Source organism: Homo sapiens, chromosome X (genome assembly GCF_000001405.40).
Source record: "Homo sapiens chromosome X, GRCh38.p14 Primary Assembly".
Taxonomy (NCBI): domain Eukaryota; kingdom Metazoa; phylum Chordata; class Mammalia; order Primates; family Hominidae; genus Homo; species Homo sapiens.
In genome coordinates, this window is record NC_000023.11 from 65,983,154 (window position 1) to 65,999,955 (window position 16,802).

The following is a 16,802-nucleotide window of genomic DNA, read 5'->3' on the forward strand; positions in this document are numbered from 1 at the left end:
ACAAGAAGAATACAATACCAGCGAAGACAGCTAACAAGAGATGTGAAGGACCTCCTAATGAAATACAAACCACTGCTCAAGGAAATAAGAGAGGACACAAACAAATGGAAAAACATTCCACCCTCGTGGATAGGAAAAATCAATATTGTGAAAGTGGCCATACTGCCCAAAGTAATTTATAGATTCAATGCTATTCCCATGAAACTCCCATTGGCATTCTTCACAGAATTAGAAAAATCTACTTTAAAATTCATATGGAACCAAAAAAGTGCCCTTATAGCCAAGACGATCCTAAACAAAAAGAACAAAGCTGGAGGCATCACACTACCTGACTTCACACTATACGACAAGGCTACAGTAACCAAAACATCATGGTGCTGGTACCAAAAGAGACACATAGACCAATGGAACAGAATAGAGATCTCAGAAATAAGACCACACATGTACAACCATCTGATCTTCAATGAACCTGACAAAAACAAGCAATCAGGAAAGGATTCCGTATTTAATAAATGGTGCTGGGAAAACTGACTAGCCATATGCGGAAAACTGAAACTGGACCCCTTTCTTATACCTTACACAAAAATTAACTCAAGATGGATCAAAGACTTAAATGTAAAACCCAAAACCATAGAAAAAAATGTAAGCAATACCATTCAGGACATAGGCATGGGCAAAGACATCATGACGAAAACTCCAAAAGCAATTTCAACAAAAGCCAAAATTGACAAATGGGATCTAATTAAACTAAAGAGCTTCTGCACATCAAAATAAACTATCATCACAGTGAGAAGGCAACCTACAGAATGGGAGAAAATTTTTGCAATCTGCCCATCTGACAAAGGTCTAATATCCAGAATTTACAAGGAACTTAAATAAATTTAGAAGAAAATAAACAACCCCATTAAAAGTGGGCAAAGGACATGAACAGACACTTCTCAAAAGAAGACATTTATGCGGCCAAAAAACATATGAAAAAAATCTCAACATCATTGATCATTAGAGAATTGCAAATCGAAACCACAATGAGATACCATCTCACACCAGTCAGAATCACGATTATTAAAAAGTCAAGAAACAACATATGCTGGCAAGGCTGTGGAGAAATAGGAATGTTTTTACACCATTGGTGGGAATGTAAATTAGTTAAACCATTGTGGAAGACAGTGTGGTGATTCCTCAAGGATCTGAAACCAGAAATACCATTTGGCCCAACAATCCCATTACTGGGTATATACCCAAAGGAACAGAAATCATTCTGTTTTAATGATACATGCTCACATATGTTTATTGCAGCACTATTCACAATAGCAAATACATGAAATCAACCCAAATGCCCATCAATGGTAGCCTGGATAAAGAAAATGAGGTACATATATACCATGGAATACTATGCAGCCCAAACAAAACAAAACAAAACAAAACAAAACAAAACATGAGATAATGTCCTTTGCAGTAACATGGATCAACCTGGAAGCCATCATCCTCAGCAAACTAACACAGGAACAGAAAACCAAACACAGAATGTTCTCACTCATATGTGGGAGCTGAACAGTGAAAACACATGGACACAGGGAGGGAAACAACACACACGGGGTCCTGTCAGGAGGGTGGGGAGAGACGGCATCAGGATAAATAGCTAATGCATGCTGAGCTTAATACTTAGGTGATGAGTTGATAGGTACAGCAAACCACCATGGCACACGTTTACCTATGTAACAAACCTGCACGTTCTGCACATGTTTCCTGAAATTTAAAATATAATAATTTTTTTAAAAAGAAGAAAAAGAAACTGGTTGACTGAAAAAAACCCACTTCATTTCTCATAGTTTCCCTTTCTCATTTGTAGAACAAAGACTAGATAATCCTTAAAGTCTCTTCCAATCTGGAAACTCCGCAAATGCATAAACTTTCAATAACAAAGGCCCTGTTCCAGATGACATGGGGGCATAATTTGGTAAGACAAAATTCTTGCTCCCAAGCAACTTCACATTTAGTAGGGAAAATAGACATGTATTGTAATTGCCCCTCTTATCTCCTCTGGAATCCTTGGCCCAATTCACAAATCCTTGGCCCACTCTCCAATTAAAAACTCCCTTATAATGCCGCATTTTCTACTGGATAGAGTCAATACTTATTGACATGCTAAGTATTTGATAGAGCAGTTATCTGAAGATACACTCTCTGTCTTCTTATCTATCTCTTTTTTTTTTGGCATTCCAGTATGGCTCCAATCTAGCTTCCTCAATCCTTTGATGTGCCTTTGTTATCACGTAACATGCGCAAAACTAATGTGGTGTTATATATCTGTCATTCTCTAGTTTGACACTTAGATCCTGGAGAGCCAGAATTAAGCCTTAATCTTTTATGAGTCCTTCACATGGGAACTGATATAAAATATACAACCAATATATGTTAAGCAAAAGAATAAATAAGTAAATAAATTAAACAAATCTAACATAAGGTAGAATGTGATCAATGCCATAAGTGAAAGGCATAGATAAAGCACAGACGAGTCTCAAGCATCTGATAATTTGTGACTAGTAGAATTAGGAAAGCTTCTATGGGAATAATGTTGTGTGACAATGTCATTAAAGATAATTAAGGTTTCATCTCATGGAAGATTCCAATGGACGGAGCCAAGTCAAGTCAATAGAACTATGCAGAGGATATGTTCAGAGACTAGGGAACAGTCCAGCCTGGCTGCTCCACGGAGGTTGATGAAAGGGCAAAGAGGGACACTGGTAAAGTTTGTTGGTACCAGATTATAATAAACCTTTAGAACCAGGCTGAAAGTTTTGAATTTTCTTTAGGAGGCAATGAAGAGCACCAGGTGGCTTCTGAGCAGGTAAACACTGTAATCCAATGTGTGCTTGATGGAAAGGAGTAAAAACATGGTGCCCGGGAGGGTCTTAGAGTTTGTGTAGTGATGCAAGACAGCCTGACAGGCAAGAAGACAGACTCTAGACCCTGCTGTGAGGAGGAAGAAGTGTGGCATTCCAGCATGTTTATGAGAACTCAAACACATTGTAACTTAGTGATAGACGCTAACAATCTCAAGCAGCCTTATTCTAACAAATAATGACTCACTCTTACCATTTGTGAATACTAGGCAGCTGTGGCTCTTATATATGTCAGTCATCTGGGGTGCGACATACCAAACCTAACAGGGGATTCACAGTTCTGACTGAGCTCCATCAGGACTGGCTCCTGTGTGACCTGGCCCATCCAGTTGTGGGTTGTTCCCTTTGTTACTAGGGAAAATTTCCCTGCGTTAACATTGCCCTCTAGTGGTTTTTGTTTCCTACAACCGGAGGTACACTTACCCCAACCTTAAACTTTTCCCTTTCTCAGAGATTGCAGTTTTCTTTTCTGTCTCTTTGTTTTCTCTTTCATCTCTACCTTCTCTTATTTCTCCCTCCCTTATTCCATGCAGTGGAGTGAGTGAAGCAGACAGGCCTAGAGAGAATTAGCCCAGTGTTACAGATAAGGAAACTGAGGCTTAGAAATGTGAAGTTAATTTGCTCTACACATTCAGCTACAAAGCATCTTAACTACAAAGTGACTGGATTAGAATTCAAACCATATATCTGAACTTGGAATTCTGGTTTTTATCCAATTCACTTTCCTCCCTTCTTCCTTTCTGTTCTCCCTCATTCCATCTCTCCCTTTTCATTCACCCTCCCTTCCATAAATGCCAGTTGACAATTCTGTGGTAGGAATAGTGTTAAGACATAGAAATAAATAGATACTGTCTTTGAGGGAACTCCCAGTCTCTTATGACAGAGAGACAAAAATAATTATAACCCAATGTGATTATATTGTTGATAGAGTCATGTTGGATGTGCTGGATCATCAAGGATATAGGGTAATTTACCTGTTATAGAAGAGGGAGAAGGGAAGATTATTTCAGGACAAGGAACCAGTCAGCACTAAGGTATAGGTATGGGGAAATAATAAGACATTTTCAGATAAAGAGTAAGGGGATGAAGGAGTTGGGGGAGTGGGGCCTGGAGCCAGATTGTGGCAGCCTTTGTGTGCCAGGCAGAGTATTCTGGACTTTAGCCTCATTCTCTCTTTTTACACAATTTCTGAAGCTTATAAGTAAATACATTTTCTAGGCTATTACCATACCCCCACATACTAAGTTGTTTAGTTTATTTGTCAAGCAGGCCAAAAAATAACAAAATAAACTATTTTTAAGCCTGTCCAGGGGTATAATATGAGTCCAAGACCAAATGGGAATGAAACCCTGGTCTCCTGCCTTCTAGGCCTTCGGATGATAAAAATGAGGAGGGGGAGAAAGGTGGAGAAATTAACTGAAAAATAATGGGATAGATTCCAGACATCTGGACCAGCCTCAAACAAATCAACATGCAGACTATGTCCTGTTTGCTCTGCCTTCCTCTTTACTTACAGGCCTAGAGATTGGGTAGGAAGCAAATGTTTGTTTATCAAAGTATATTTATCCACTGACCTCCAGAATATTTTCAGGGATGGTTGCTGTTCCATGAAAAACATGCAGGTCACAATACATTGGCCTCAAATCACACAGGTATTCTCATAATACTTCCAAATAGTGCTCCTTCTTTCCCCACATCTTATTTGGGTGCATGTATTAATAATTATCAGCCTCCTAACTTTACTTCCTCACATGTATAAGGCTTCCCTTGAACAAAGACTTCTCACGAGCGTTGGGTTCTTCGGCAACCCTAGGAGAGAAGTAAGGAGGTGAAATCAGGTCCTCATTTTTCAGAAGAAGAAACAAAGGTTCAGAGATGAACTTGCCCCCAACTAGGGGAAGGAGGCAGAGTAGGATTCCAAGTTCAGTGCTTTTGCTACCAGTTCCTGTTAGGAAGTGTACTTAAAGAAGCACTAAAGCCACAAGCTTAGTGAAGGCTCATTAACAACACTTTCATTAGCATACTTCATGGTTAATTTCCATTTCCTGCACAATTTCTCCAGACTCAGGGTCCTGAGAGCTAGAGGAGTCACACTGAGCCATTGTTCTGGTCAGTGTGACATGTTTCCATTCTGAGCCAAATTTTCAATAAAGGTCCTCTTTTTTTTTTTTTTTTTTTTTTTTTTTTTCCAGACAGAGTCTCATTCCCTCACCTAGGTTGAAGTGCAGTGGTGCGATCTGGGCTCATTGCAACCTCTGCCTCCTGGGTTTAAGCAATTCTCCTGCCTCTGGCTCCCAAGTAGCTGGGACTACAGGCATGCACCACCATGCCTGGCTAATTTTTGTATTTTCAGTAGAGACAAGGTTTCGCCATATTAGCCAGGCTGGACTCAAACTCTTGACCTCAAGTGATCTTCCCGCCTCAGCCTCCCAAAGTGCTGGGATTATAGGCATAAGCCACTGCACCCAGTCAAAGGTCATTCTTACTCTACAAAATAGGGTTATTCGGGAATAAAGAGAACCCTCGGAAATGCATGGCAAGTTGAACAACATTTATGCTTATGGATTCAGGAACTGGAAATATACCAAATAATTAATGTAGTTTTTCTTACCAGATAAAACAGTCCTTGCAGCTTCTTCTGCCATTAGCTGCTTTTCTTTGATAACTGACTTTCTCTTTGTCTGATGACAGGGGATGAACCTCAATTTTATATATATATATATATATATATACACACACACATATTTATTTATATATATAATTTTCCTTTAAATCTTCACAAAACACTATGAGTTAGGTGTGTAGCATTATTATCCTTTTTAACAGATGAGGAAACTGAGGCCCAAAAAGGTTAAATTGCTTGCACAGCATCATATGGTTTGTAAGTGGCAGATCTGAACCCAGACAGTCTGATTTTAGAGCCAGTATACTAAGGTGCCATTCATTTTGTCTTGCTTTTAATTTCAGCATTCAGGGCCTTTCACTCCTTACATCTTGCCCCAGTCAGTTACCCTAGGGAACTAGGTTTATTCCATTCCTTATATCTTTGCTTAAGCCGCAACCCCCACCCCACCCTCACCTGTGCAGCGATTTGGAGGTTTAATTCAAAGTTCTCCACAAAGCCTTTTCTTAATACTCCAAAACACCTACATTTTTATCATGGTTAGCACGGAATACTCGAATGCCTTTTCATTGTCTCTTTTTATTCAGGGATAAATATCTTTTCAATTCTATTTTCACTGTTTCAAGAGCAGAGACACTTCTTTGGTGACACTCACATACCTTTAGTGCAATATCTAGGCACATATTTCAAATGAATCTATTTTCCAAATGTAAATAAATACGGGTTTGACAATAGGTCACATTATCTGAATCTGGAATAAATGGTCCCAGTCCACAGGGTAGACTTTGGCTTGTGTAACAAACACTGGCTCAATTAAATAATTATTTGCCTTATCAGTTAATCATCTCAAGCTTACCAGAATGTTATCAGCAGATTGAACTACAATATTAAGTGTTTACTACATGCCAAGCACTGCACTGGGCAATATTAAAAATCCTTTTTATAAAAAACCCTCACACCATCCCTGAGAATGAATTCCCACTTACAGAATTAGATAATTTTTATGACTTGCATGCAAAAGCACTGTTACATGTCAGGACACTTTCCATGGCAACAGGTCTCACCAGGGTCAATCTTTAATGGGAGTTCTCCAAAGCAGAAGAGTTGAATTCTCTTAGTATGGAAGGGTAAGAATTCTAAGCTCATCTCCTTCTAAACAGTTGCAGACTAAGCTGGTGCCTTATTATAAATTAGAACTAAGGTTGGAAGAGGACTTTTAGTGGAATCATTAAACTAGCAAAAGGGCCTGAGGGGTTTTTTGTTTGTTTGTTTGTTTGTTTTTTATTAAGTGCTTTAGAGAAGGAGAGATAAAGAGAAGGATAGATAGGAAGGTGTAATTTAACTTATTTAAAGACTCTTTATAAAGGAAATTATTTAAGAATTATCTAGACAGATAAATGATAGATAGATGATAGATATTTTAATGGATCACATTAAAATGTTCTGATGAGTGGCTAAATAAGTGTGGTATAACTAAATAAGTGTGGTAAGAGATATTATGCAGCCATTAAAAGCCATGGCTTCAAAGAATATTTAGCAACATGGGGAAACGTCAATTTTATGGTGTTAAGTGAATAAAGGAGAACACAAAATAGTATGAAAAGTAAGATCTCAATTAGGATGAAACAAAATACACACGCACACTCAAAAAAAGGTCTAGAAAGAAAAGCATCAAAAATATTAACTGTGATTGCCTCTGGGTTATAGGATTATGATGGATTGTTTTTCTTTACATATATTTTGCTCCCTATCCTTTCAAAGTTTTCTGCTCCCAGCAAGTTTTAATTCTGTAATAGCAAGGGAAAATATAAGTATTTTTTAAAAAAGAAAGGTTTGTGTGTGTACGTTTGCCTGGGAGTAAGGGTAGAAAAATACCAAGAGTGGATAAAGAAAATAGGATTATTCCTGGGGCTAGGAAACAGGGAGCTGAAAGAGAAGGAATAGGTTAGAGTAGCTCACTGAAAGTTAGAAGTAGCTATTTAGAAGACTCAGAGCTTCTTTGTTGCTTTTCAGAAGGAATTTAGAACCTGTAATGGATGTGTTGGAAATTATTTTTCTGTATTTGTATGTTCTGTTAACAGTGGGGGCTGAGGAGAGAGGGAATGGGTGTCTGGGTAAGGTGATTGCAGTGGGAAGTACACTGAAGGAGCCTCAAGCACAAGTTCAACTTTAGGGCAGGGATTTGGATGTAGTTCTGCCACTCCCACTCCAGTCCCCATGCTCTGTACAGGACCTGACAGAATAAGCTGTTCAGTGTTTGCTGACCAGAACTTTGAGTAGCACAGAGACAAAGGCCCTTCTACCCAGAGCAGAGATTTCCATCTAGCCATCTAGGATTTTCCTCTGCTTCACTTTGTGTGTGTGTGTTAAGGGAGGGTAGGGGTGGGGAGTGCTATTTCCTTATTTAGGCAAACTCAGTGACTATCATACTGTTTAAACTTATTATTTTTATTATAAAGACATTACATATTTATTATAGAAAAATGCAAAAATGCAGGTAAGTAAATTTTAAAAATAAAATTATCTACAATTCTACCACCATCACGACCCAAAGATAAACCTGCAAACATTTTGGTGTACATTCCTTCAGACATTTTTCTGTGTGTATATTTATTCTTTTTTAGAAAATTTTTCTACCAAGTTTTTTACTCTTGAAATGTGTATATTTATTCTTATAATATGATCATGCTGTTTTGTAAGCTATTTCTTTTCACTTAGCAATTTAATATAAACATCTTTCCAGGTTATTTAATATTTTTATTTTTGGATATTTTAAAAGTCACTTTTAGGTACTCAAATAATACATTATCCTTGTAAAATTTGAAATATACAAAACTTACAGATAAGATTAATGTCACTTTTGATCACCTGTCATACCCCTACCTCAATCCTGGTCCCCTCCCCACTTATGAGAAATAACCACTATTATTATCTGTCATGTATTCTTATATGTGGTTCTCTAAAGATTTCCATACACATACATGTATTCATAGGAGATGTATGACATTATTTTGGGTGGTAGGTATGGTGTTTATCTTCTGTATAAATGGTATCATACTGTACATATTAATCTGAAACTTGCTTTTTTATTCAATAACATGAATATCTAGATATATCTCATTCTATTTAACCAATGCATAGTATTGTGTAGTATAGATACATCATTGTTTATTCAATCATGTCACTATTGATGTAGATTTAAGTCATATCCAATTTTTCACTATTACAAATAGCATTGGAGTAAATATTTTTGTCATGACTCCTTGTGCATATGTGTGAGAATGTTCCTTTAGTATAGACAGCAAGGAGAAAAATTAGTAGGTCATAGGATGTATATTTTTTATTATATTGCTTTAAAAAATCTTTAAAGATGTATTTGATTTAGACCAACATATTCAGAATACTGTTTCAACTGATAATATAAAAATGAAATACATTTTTTGTAATAAATGTGGAAATTTTCAAATACATGTTTTAAAAGTACAAAATTTTATAATGAACCCACATACATACTAAAAATTAGATTCAACAATTATCAATACACGGCCAATCTTGTTTCATTTATACTCTATTTACACTCCCCCTGGAATACATTGGATTACCCTGAAGCAAGTCATATCATTTGGATGCACATTTTAAAATTTAGTATATCTTGAAAAAGTGTCTCCAGAATGATTGTTCCAATTTATACTTTCATCAGCAGTGTTTCAGATTACCTATTTTCCATGCCTTTGCCAAACTTAAAACTATTTAAATTTTTTGCTAATCAGAAAGAGCATTTTATTTTTTCAATTTGCATTTCTCTGACTATTAGCAAAATTGGGCATCTTTTCAGATCCTTAACAAATATTTGTATTTCTCCTTCTGCAAACTGCCTGTTCAAATCCTTTGCCCATTTTTCCACTTTGGTTATCCTTTTCGCCCACTTTTCTACCTTGTTGTTTTTTAATCACATTAGATGTTTATAAATGAAATGCCACTAAGTAAATATGCACAGTGTTAGCTTGTGTTAACATTCTGAATGTTATTAGGAAAGTGGGCTTTACTTGGCATCCATTTTATTCATATATTTGTTGAATGCCTGGTACCTGCCAAACTCCTGAGGATACAATGTTGAGCAAAAGAGAGATAGTTCCTTTCCCGTTGAAACTGATAATCAGCCAAGTCGGCAAGATGAACATTGATTAAACAATCACACATATAAATACACTATTACAAATAGTTATAAGTGTTGTGAAAGAAAAGTACCTTGAACAAAAAGCTTGAGGTAGCCGGGCCGCTGGATCGTTGGGTATACTGGACTAGAGAAAGGGTGAGTAGCAGATGCTCTTATTCAAAGGGCCATAGCCAATAAGAAAGGGTCTCATCTCTGATACTCCTTCCCTAAGGAATATTAGCTTTGGGATCACAATCTGCTTGAAAGATAATCTTTTATGAAATGGAGTAAGCTATAAAAACACTGGCCAAACACTTCAATATTAATCTCTGGCCAAAAATGCAGAGGTAGAGACTATCCTCTGTATCCCCAATGGCTTGTAATCCCAGTGCCACAATTGCTCTAGGAAAACCACAAGAAACGTGATGGATAGGCCAAGTGTCTTCTAAAGAAACATGGAAAGCTATGACTTGGGGAAATCTAGTGGGACTGTGCACTCCATTAGAGCACTATCAACCCCGGCAAGAGCAGCAAAAGAAACATTAGCAACATCAAAACCAGAGCAATGGAAAGAATATCAAGGTCCAGAAGAACAAAAGCAACAACATAAACAAGAGTGAAAATAACATGAACCACATCAACAGGCCGTATCAGAAGAGAGGATGATACAGACAGCACCTCAGACTTTTTGTACCTACTCTTTCAAGAAGACAGTAACACTATGCTCAAGAAAACTCACCACCTCAGAATTCTTCAGAAACCACCTTCAACCTCAAGAAATGTATTAATAGAATGGAGAATAAAGTGTGGTCTCAGAGTGTGATCTATCACATTCCAATTGATTCACTGGAGAGACATCATTCACCATGAAAAATATCACAATACTGAGCAAGAACTGCTTGAAATAATTATATAAGGACAGATCCACAGAATTTGGGGAAGTGGTCCAGTTAATCTATTTTGTACCCCAATGTTTCCACCCTTTTCATGATTGACTATGAGATCCCCACCTAGGCTTGGAACCCAGGAAAGCCTTTCTAAGGCCAAAAAGGGTTTGGACTGCGGGTTGCTACTTACAATGCTTTATAACAAAACAGAATGGCCTTTACTTGAATTGACTAGTTATTTTAAGCTCCCAAAGCTAGAGAGGCATGAGAACATAAGATCCTCAATTATTTAGAATTCATGGCTCCTGATATGGCTCAAGACTGGGTGACAAACAGGGTTGGGCTGTGATGACTCTGGAGGCTAGGGCTGCTCCAGAGGGAGGTTTGAACACACAGCCATCTGTAGGGAAATGTGGGGGCGGGGGCTGTCTCACTTTGTCAGTGTTCTTCTCGGAGTGTGTTGCCTAGAAGGGAAAGTATTCTATTTGTGATCTGGCCAATGCTAAGTAGAGCAGGATTGTCACCTCCCTGGTTCTGAACACTGCATTTTTATGATTACTGTTAAAGATAGCATTAGGTTTTTGCCACCCTACCTCATAACTGACACATATTGAGCTCACTGTCCTCCCAAATCCCTAGACTGTACTACACTTGCTGCTTCTAAGCCACATCTTCTCCATCCTGGATGTGTATGTGTGTGTGTGTGTGTGTGTGTGTGTGTGTAGCAAGAAGGAGAGAACCGGGAAGAATTCAGAACTGAGTAAGAACTTCTGATCCAGAGGGGTTCAAACAAATTAATCAAGTGTTTTTACCAATAGATGACTACAGGCAGGGAGTAGGCCTCAGAGGGAGATCACCATAAGTTCAAGGTCTGAATTCAACTTGGTGAGACCAGAAACTTAATTATCACCTCATCTAGAATTGGTCAGGCACAGGGAAACTAATTTCCATTCTCCAGAAACAAAGTTGAATTACCCACACCTGTTATTCATCCAAGCTGCCCTGTCCTAGGGTGAGTCTGCTCAGATGTCAGACTTGAGAGCACAGGGGTGTTTGAAGAATGGAAAAGTAAGGCAAAATGGCTTGGATGGCATTCTGGAACATTTTCTTAAAGCTAGGGTAGCTGGATGAATTAGCTTTTAGGAGACTTCTGTCTCTGTGGAGCAGGTTGATCCATAGACTCAGTGGCCCCTCTCTTTGAAGAGTGTCAGAGGAACATTAACATATTCTTTTGTTTTTGTCTCCTCTTTCTCTAACCTCCATGGAGACACCTCCACCCACCAGCCAGCCAATCACTCTTCTGTTATGACAACACAACAGTAACCTCAGCCAAGTCACAACATAATTGAGTAGGTTTCTGTTTTCTGTACACCAAATTCTATTCCTCCTATATCTTACTAAAGATTGGACTTGGGACACAACGTGGTGCCTTGATGGAGACTTGAGACACATCCAATTCCCATCTCATTAGTAATATGTGTCCAAATTCTTTCTCAGGCTCAACTCTTTCTGCAAAGGGCTGAGCTCATAGGTTCCTTGTTGATTTGGATTTGGTCAGTTTGCAAGAGCCGTGTGGTCTAACTTGACCTCTCCGTGAGCAACTAGAGGAGGTGGGGTTGGATGGAGGGTGTGCCTCTTGTGGGATTTGGCACATTATCACAATAACTATCCAAGGCTCAACTCAGAACTGATAATAATCAGCTCTTACATATCATTTAATGTAGTCACCATAAGATATCAATGAGATATATATTGTCTCCCTGTTTGTGAATAATAATAAAACCAATGTTCAGAGAGAGAAAGGACTTTGTTTAAGTTACATGACTAATTATGAGCAGAGCTGAATCCAGGTCTCTTAATTAAGAATCCAGAACTTTTCTGCTTTTTCCTGTGTCTTTACCTAAAAATTGGTAGGAACTCCCATCAATGCTACTCTTGCCAGGGCTTTCCTGTTTCTGACCATTTCTGGTGACCTCACAGAGGGGAGAAACCTGCCAGTGACAAAATCACTTGCCACCTTTCCCAGACATAAAGTAGAAGATACAGGAAGCTGGCTTCACTGCTCAAGCTCTGCTGCCCATGAAGTGACCCGGTCATAGTGGTTAAAGAGGAGGAGAAAGACCATACTAGACACTAAGAAGACCTCCCTTTGCCAGGAAGGGCAGGCCTAAGAAGGGCATCAGTGGACAGAGAACTTAAAAAATGGCCTTTGTGTGTACTACTTTTCTAGGGCTACAATAACAAAATGCCACACACTGGGTGGCTTAAACAATAGAAATTTATTTTCTCACAGTTCTGGAGGCCAGAAGTCCAAGATTAGGTGTCAGCCAGTTTGTTTTTTTCTGATACCTCTCTTGTTGGCTTGCAGATGGCCACCTTCTCATTGTGTTCTCAAATGGTCTGCTCTGTGCCTGTGCATCCTTGGCTTCTTTTTGTGCCCCAATTTTTTCTTGTTATAAAGATAACAGTCAGATTGCATTAGGGACTACCCTAACAACCTCATTTTAACTTAATAACCTCTTTAAAGGCCCTGCCTCCAAATACAGTTACATTCTGATGTACTAGGGGTTAGGGTTTCAACATATGAATTTGGGCAGCGGAACACTGTCCTTTGTTTCTTAGCACATGGGCTGAAACTAGTTAACTTTTTAGGCCTAAATAAATAGAGAACAGCTGGATAAAGAGACAAATAAATGAGATACTTTTGAGATGAAGGTGATTGCGTATAATATTAATTGCCATCTAGTACTTGCATCTCTTCTCTATCCACACCCCATGCTGTGTCAGCTCCCTCATCCATGGCAAGTCTAGAGTTTCACGGTTTCTTGGTAAACACCCATTGTCTGCTTGCTAGCAGAATCTTTGGTTTTCTGCTAAACTGGCACTTTCCTTCTTTATGGCTAATATCTGTTCTTTTTAGAAAAGTTTGGGCTCTTGACATTCTAGAGGCAAGTATGCAAAATGGGAATTCTGACTGTATCTACAGATCTTTGATCCAAAAATGGACAAGTTTTGTCTTTAAGCAGTGGTGGTAATAAATATGGTGAATATAGATATCAGATTTCCCAGCATAGTCCAGGTTCAAATATTTGGTCTTATTGCTTCTGTAACCACATGCACATTTGTTAGACTGGTTGTTCTAATGTGGGTCCAGAAAACATACTTTGGAGTGTGCTGAATGGGTTTAAGTATTCCCATCAATTACTTTCCATTGTTTTGGAGACAAATTCTAAACTCACCATAGAATTAAAAGTCCTCAGTAATGCAGACTTCCACATCTAGCCAGCTTCATCTCCTACCACTATTCAAGATAAGTCATGTACTCAAACCATACAGAATTTTAGTCACCAAACTTGCCTGTCCATTTTATATATTCATGCTTTTGCACATGCTGTGTTAGGACACGCTTCTAGAATACCTATGATGATTTTGCCACTGTTACCTGTAAACTGCCTAATATTCTGTTAATCCTTCAAGTTTCAGTTCAAATCTCTGTGAAACTGTTCCTGACATCCCTAGAAAGTCAATCACTCCTTCTGTTTTGCCACTGTAGCTTATATATACTATATTATATATTATACTTGAACATGTTATAATGGTGAACATATTGGGCTAACTGGAACACCATTTTATTTGGCTATCTTCCCCAGTAGACAGGGACCTGACTTATAATAAGTACCCATGTGTTTGTTAAATGAATGAAAGAAATAATAGGAAAAGGACATTGCCAAGGATGAGCATCTGCATCTCTCCATCTTCTAACATAATTAACTCAATTTCTTTCTTTATTATTTTTGAGGCAGCATTTCATTCTGTTGCCCAGGCCAGAGTTCAGTTGTGTGATCTCAGCTCACTGCAGCTTTGACCTTCTAGGTTCAAGTGATCCTCCTATTTCAGCCTCCCGAGTAGCTGGGACTACAGGTATGCACCACCATGTCTGGCTAATTTTTTTAGTTTTATAGAGATGGGGTTTCACCATGTTGTCCAGGGTGGAATTTCTTATGATTAAGAGGATGAGATGAGAGTGAGGTAGGGCTAGCATCTGGTTTATATAGCTCAGACTAGTCTTCTACTTTGTTTACAGGTTTTGGGACCTGATCTGATCTAAACTAAATTTCCAGTGCTGGGCCCCAAAAAGACTAATCCCACTTGTCAGATTAACATAAACCCTCGAAGGTATAAGTAGTTGTGGGAGGGCAGGATGACCTGACAGACATGTTCCTGGCAGACCAGTTATCATGTTGAGGTGCCCAGAGAACCTGGTTCCTCCCACATAGGAGGACACCACCCTAGGGTCCCTGAGCAAACTATGGGAGACCAGAATATTGCCACATTGATGGAGAAATGTCAGCCTGAAAATTGCCACACATAGTCTTTGGGGAGGCAGTATGGGAATGGGGTAGGGGACAGAATGACACAGAGAGGCTGATGCAAAAACCAACCGTCATTCTTGAGCAACTGAGGAGGTATGGGCTAGAAGTCCAGACTGTTGCTGCTGGGACTTCCCTTCCACAATGACTCTGCAGTCCAGAAGCTGGGGAGGCAGTTACAGAGGCCACTTCAGGCCAAGCCTGGGGTAGAGGTGGTGGCAGATAAGCCACCCACCCATGAGTTCCCTCCCCATCCTACTTTCCTTTTTCACATCTTTCTTACATCAGATATGACAATAGCCCCATGATATAGGCAGGGCAAAGATTATGACCTCTGTTTTACACTCAAGTATGTCAAGTTCCAGAAAAGTAAACCATGAGGCAGTCTCTTTCCAAACTCAACTGCTCAGTTGCCCTTACCTAGTGGCCCCTCCATGTATAGAGTGTGAGCCTTGCCCTGACTAGTCTTATATTCATTCAACTTAATAGCTCATAAGCCTTTCCATGCCTTCAACTTCTTAATTTCAACTCAATCATAACATTGACCTAGTGATGCGAACTCCTCCCATCCTAACTTATGTTGTGTCAGAGGCACCATTTACTCACTGAATATTATTTAATACCTCCTACCACGTGCCAAGTACTAAGCTAAGCAATATCCAATACAGCAGTGAACAAACAGTCTCTGTTTATGTCACAGAGCTACCAATCACAAAAATGCAGTGTTTAGAGCCAGGGAGGTGATCAGCAGTAAACATATAAATTGATCAAAAAACCAATTATTCCGAATGGTAAGGTGTGCTATTAAGAAAATCAGTAGGGTTCCAAGCATATGAGGGAAAAGGGGTAAGAAGAGCTATTTTATCTTGGTTTGGCAGGGAAGACATTCCATAGAGAGAATATTTTAAGCTAAGACCTGAAGAATGAATGAGAAGGAGAAGGAGTCAGCCATGGGTTGAAGGGAATTTCAAAGACCCTGAGATAAGAAAGTGCCAATGGTGCACATAGTCAAGCCAACTAGGATTCATAGCCATCTTAAGGCAGTGTGGTATACAGGAAAGGTGAAAGGCATTGAATGCAACCTTAGGAATCCCCTTGTATTTTTGACCCATCCCTGCTAAGAGGTCAGAAGGGAACTGGCATGTACTGTGTGTCTTTTTTTTTTTTTTTTTTGGCAGGTTCTCGCTCTGTTGTCTAGGCTGGAGTACAGTGGCATTGTAACAGCCCACTGCAGTCTCGACCTCCCATGCTCAAAAGATTCTATTACCTCAGCCTCCTGAGTAGCTGGAACTACAGGTGCACACTACCATGCCAGGCTAATTTTTGTATTTTTTTGTAGCGACAGGGTTTTACCATGTTGCCCAGGGTAGTCTTGAACTCCTGGGCTCAAGTAATCTTCCCACTTCAGGCTCCTGAAGTACTGGGATTACAGTCACTGTACCTAGCCTACTATGTATCATGTCCAGCCAGGCACAAGCTAGTCCCTTTCTCACATGGATTTTTTTTTTATTATTTCCCTGAGCCTCAGCATTCTTATAGGTGTAACAAGGAAGTGAGACTTTTTGGCCTCTAAAAGCTTTTATAACTTGGAGAGATTAGTTGATCTAATCTATGACCCCATCCTCCAGTTAGGAAGCTGAGGTCCTGGAAGACAAAGTGCTTTTATCTCAGGTTGCCCAATGGATAAGTACATTACTTTTTAACTCTATGCCTGATTGACCAAGGTAAAGCTGAAAGAGTCTCATCTGAACTATAACCCAAGTGGGTAAGCCAGTCCCTTGGCACTGCCCAGGAAGAAGATATGGATGGGAGGACTACTCCTTCTTGAATGCAGAGGATAAAAGTTATCTGGGAGCTCTTTTA

General features: G+C 39.1%; 1 annotated feature.

Moving 5' to 3' along the window:
• Positions 11,769-11,828: an enhancer, noted in NCBI's record as "active region_29719". NCBI's record gives its function as "activates an Ori minimal core promoter by ATAC-STARR-seq in GM12878 lymphoblastoid cells {active_cell/tissue: GM12878}" and the evidence as "EXISTENCE:reporter gene assay evidence [ECO:0000049][PMID:35858748]".